The sequence below is a fragment of the Homo sapiens genome, chromosome X (assembly GCF_000001405.40).
Source record: "Homo sapiens chromosome X, GRCh38.p14 Primary Assembly".
In the NCBI taxonomy this organism is placed as follows: Eukaryota; Metazoa; Chordata; class Mammalia; order Primates; family Hominidae; genus Homo; species Homo sapiens.
This window is the reverse complement of record NC_000023.11, coordinates 9,969,671-9,974,686: the sequence shown is the minus strand read 5'-3', so window position 1 is coordinate 9,974,686 and position 5,016 is coordinate 9,969,671.

The window sequence follows — 5,016 nt, the reverse complement described above, 5'->3', positions numbered from 1 at the left end:
ACCCTTCTATCTGCAAAAAAAAAGAAAAAACCCAAAAAACTGGAAAATGAACCAGAAATGTAAAAGTTACCTATGGTGAGAGAGAATATAATAGACACAGAAACATAAGTTTATTCAGATTTTTCTGAATAAATATGGTTATATTTTTGACTTTGAAAATTATGTAAATATTCCACATATTCAAAATGGAAACTATGTCAAAAAGACAAAGTTAATCCCATAGAAAATTATGTCAAAAAGACAAAAGTAATGATATCAAAACTAGAAAACAAACCAAAATGAATAAATTTAACTATTTATCAAATTAGTGACATAACCATAAAAAGAAAATCATTACAGGCCAGGCATGGTGGCTCACGCCTGTAATCTCAGCACTTTAGGAAGCCAAGGCTGGTGGATCTCTTGAGGCCAAGAGTTGAGACCAGCCTGGTCAACATGGTGAAACCTCGTCTCTACTAAAAATACAAAAATTAGCTAGGCATGGTGGCACATGCCTGTGGTCCCTGCTACTTGGGAGGCTGGGGCATGAGAATTGCTTGAACCTGAGAGGCAGTGGTTGCACGGTTGCAGTGAGCCGAGATCGCGCCACTGCATGCCAGCTTGGCGACAGAGTGAGACTCTGTCTCAAAAAAAAAAAAAAGTTATATATGCTGGTTCTGTTCATTACAAAGACCTAAATGTAATGACAACTGAGTGAATAAGCACCACCAGTGCCCAAATTGTGGTTTCTAAATCCCCGTCTTCATCTGCAGGGCTCACTAAAGGAACTGCATAGCTGATTCAAGGTCTTGTGCCTGACATATACAAGATACACCTGGAAATCTTGTGGAGGGGTGAAAAAGCCTCAAAGGCTAATGGGGACTGCTAAAGGGCACGGGCTTCCTTTTTGGGGTGAAAATGTTGTGCAATTAGACAGTAGTGATGGTTGTACAACTCTGTGAATACATTAAAAAGTACTGAATTAGACACATTAAAGGGTGAATTTTACAGTCTGTGAATTATATTTCAAGAAAATGTTATTAAAATATTACTTAAATATTTCAATAACAAGACAAAAGAGTGTAATGGAAACTACATCACTGCCACCATGCAGATTATGGGAGTGATATTCATGAAACTGCCACATGATCTTCATGCGTGTAGAGTTTGCTGTGCTCCTGGGATAGCGTTTCTGCAGTAAAATCCTTCCCTTTTAAGATATTAACATACTTTTTAGTCATGTTTCTTGAAAGAATGGAAAATGACTTCAGTATCAATTCAATTTTATTAAACTTCCTATTTTTTCTTAAACCTTAAATGTAGAAACCAATACTCAAAGCTGTTTAATAAAACGGGTTTCAGCATAATATATCTGTGCTCATTAATATTCTAGGAAGGTTTTTAACTGGTAAAGTTAATTCGTTTAAAAAATAAGCTGAAGATTGGGAGGCTGAGGCAGGAGAATGGTGTGAACCCGGGAGGCGGAGCTTGCAGTGAGCCGAGATTGCGCCACTGAGCTCTAGCCTGGGCGACAGGGCAAAACTCTGTCTCAAAAAAAAGAAAAATAAGCTGAAGATTATGAGATGAGGGAATTTCTAGACTGTACCTGAAAAAAATAATTTTGGGGGCTGGGTGTGGTGGCTTACACCTGTAATCCCAGCACTTTGGGAGGCTGAGGCAGGTGGATCACCTGAGGTCAGGAGTTCGAGATCAGCCTAACCAATATGGTGAAACCCTGTCTCTACTAAAAATACAAAAATTAGCTGTGTGTGGTGGTGCGCACCTGTAATCCCAGCTACTCAGGAGGCTGAGACAGGAGAATTGCTTAAACCTGGGAGGCGGAGGTTGCAGTGAGCCGAGATCGTGCCACTGCACTCCAGCCTGGGTGACAGAGGGAGACTCCATCTCAAAAAAAAAAAAAAGAAAAAAAGAAAAAATAATGTTTGGAAATTGTCACTTATTTTGAAAATGAAATCCAAGATTAGGTTCCAAGAGAGTTTTGAGAACCTGTGCATAATTTGTGTGTATGGACATTCTTCTGGGAGAATTTCCGTGAGGTTACAAACCACTGGTATAAAAGGTAATTAGATGTAGAGTAAATAAGTAAATAAATATGCTTGAATTTCAATCTCTCTCTCTATCACTTGATGAATGTAGTAAGTAGTATTGTTGATATGTCCTTCTCTTTACCATTTTGTTCTTTAGGAAAATTATTTTGTAGAGTGAATTTTATTGATAAAGTGAAGAGTTGCTTGAGGTAAATAGTAATGTTAGGATTGTCCTGAATAAAGAGGCTTTTTTAATCTTAAAAAAAAAAAAACTGATGGGGACATGTCAAAGGACACACATGTCACCATGGCTCTACTGCCAAAGATGGGACAATTTGATCATAAAAAGGAAGGATGAATGCAATTGAGTGAAACATATGGAACATATAAAAACCCACAGGTTACTGTTACAAACATTTATGAGATAACTAGGGAAATGTGAACACTGACTATTTGAATATATTAATAAATGACTGGCCAGGCATGGTGGCTCATGCCTGTAATCCTAGCACTTTGGGAGGCCGAGGTGGGCAGACTGCTCGAGCCCAAAACTTCGAGACCAGCCTGTGCGATATAGTGAGACACCCATCTAAATTTGTTTACATATATTTTTTCATTTAAAAAATAAAAACGAATTTAAAAAAGAAGTTAACTTTTTGGTGTGATTGTGGCAATGTGGTTATGTTAAAGAGAATAAGAGGACTGGGCACGATGGCTCATGCCTGTAATCCCAGCACTTTGGGAGGCCGGGTCAGGAGATCGCGACCATCCTGGCCAATACGGTGAAACCCCGTCTCCACTAAAAATACAAAAAATTAGCTGGGCATGGTGGCACGCGCCTGTAATCCCAGTCACTCGGGAGGCTGAGGCAGGAGAATCACTTGAACTCGAGAGGTGGAGGTTGCAGTGAGCAGAGATCACGCCACTGCACTCCAGCCTGGTGACAGAGTGAGACTCCAAAAAAAAAAAAAAAAAAAGAGTAAGAGGTCTGTATCTTTGAGAGATACATATAGAAGTATTTGTGGATACAATAACATATTGCCAGGGATTTATTTAAAATCATCCGTGGTGGAGACAGGACAGGGAGTAAGGGTAGGGCTGAAACACGGCTGGTCGGATATTGATAATGATTGAGGCTGAGGCCGTAGCCTCTCTACTTTGTAATGCACTTGAAAATTTCCAAAATAAAAACACAGAAACAATTTCATGAGTTCAGGCCGAGGCAGGCAGATAGCTTGAGCTCAGGAGTTCGAGACCAGCCTGGGCAACACGGTGAAATGCTGTCTCTACAAAATACAAAATCCAGCTTGGCATGGTGGCGTGCACCTGTAGTCCCAGCTACTCTCCAGGTTGAGGTTGGAGGATCACTTGAGCTTGGGAGGTGGAGGTTGCAGTGAGCTAAGATTGCACCACTGCACTCCAGCTGGGCGACATTGAGACCCTGTCTCAAAAAAAGAAAAAAAAAACAACAGAAATAGTAAAAACAACCAATACATTGGTCAACCCTAATTCTCCTTTTTCACTCTAGAAATCAACAATTGGAGAAAAGAACGAAGCATTTACTCTCCCTTTTTTTGGGTGTGCACTGAATTTTAGAGTAACCAAATAGCCATAGTTGATGAGGGAAAACTTTTTTTTTTTAGAGATGGGGTCTCGCCCAGGCTGGTCTCCAACTCTTGGGCTCAAGAGAGTCTCCCACCTCAGCCTCCCAAGTAGCTGGGACCATAGACCCTCACACAAAAGCATCCCAGCTGATATATCTGGCTAGAATGTTCACATTAGAAAGTCACCACTTGCAGCTTTGGGAGGTCGAGACAGGAGGATTGCTTGAGGACAGGAGTGGGAGACCAGCCTGGGCAACATAGTGAGATCCCATCTCTACAAAAACTTATTAGAAATTAGCTGGGCATGGTGGCACACACCTCCCGTCCCAGCTACTTGGAAGGCTAAGGCGGGAGGGTTGCAGGTTGCTTGAGCTCAAGAGTGTGAGATTACGGTGACCCATGATCCTGCCACTGCACTCTAACCTGGGCGACAGAGATTCCTGTAGGAAGAAGGGAGGGAGGGAAGTAGGGAGGGAGAGAAGGAGGAGAGGAGGGAGGGAGGGAAGGAGAAAAGGAGGGAAGGAGGGAGGACGAGAAGGAGGGAAGAGGGGAGGGAAAGAAGAGAAGGAAGGAAGGAGGGAGGGAGAGAAGGAGGGAAGGAGGGAAGGAGGGAAGGAGGGAGAGATGGAGAGAGGGAAGGAGGGAAAGAGAAACAGAGGGAAAGAATTAGGGAAGGAGGGAAGAAGAGAAAGATGGAAGAAGAGAAAGAGGGAAGAAGGGAGAAAGAGAAGGAGGAAAAAGGGAGGGAGAGGAGGGGAGGGAGGGAGGGATGGAATGAAGGAGGAACAGAGGGAGGGGGGGAGAGAGGAAGAGAAAAAGAGAAGGAGGGAAGGAGGGAGGGAGAGAATGAAAGGAGGAAAGGAGGAAAGGAGGGAAGGAAGGAAGGGAGAGAGGGAAGAAGGGAAGGAAGGGAACGAGGGAGAGAGGGAGGGGGAGGGATGGAAGAAAGGAAAGGTCACCACTCGCAATCCTCAGTGCGATAATTTATTCTAACAAGGACCATCAATAGATGAAACCATTAGGGTTGGGTGGAAGTTTTATGAAGCAACTTACAAAAGGGATCAGGCGTTCCCTTCATGGATCCACTGATCAATGTTAGCATCACTGAAAGGGATAATGACCATGTACCCCTGGCATAGTGCAGTCAGCAGGAAGTACGTGGTACCACCTATGAAATACTCTTCCTGAGAACTGACCAGGACTCTAATCAAGCCTCTAGAGGTAACGAGTTAAATTAATCCACTTTCTTCAGCAAATCAAAATCATTTATTAAAAAGGCACATGAGGTCAGGCACGGTGGTTCTCACATGTAATCTCAGTGCTTGGGAGGCTGAGGCAAGAGGATCGCTTGAGCCCAGGAGTTCAAGACCTGCCTGGGCAACATG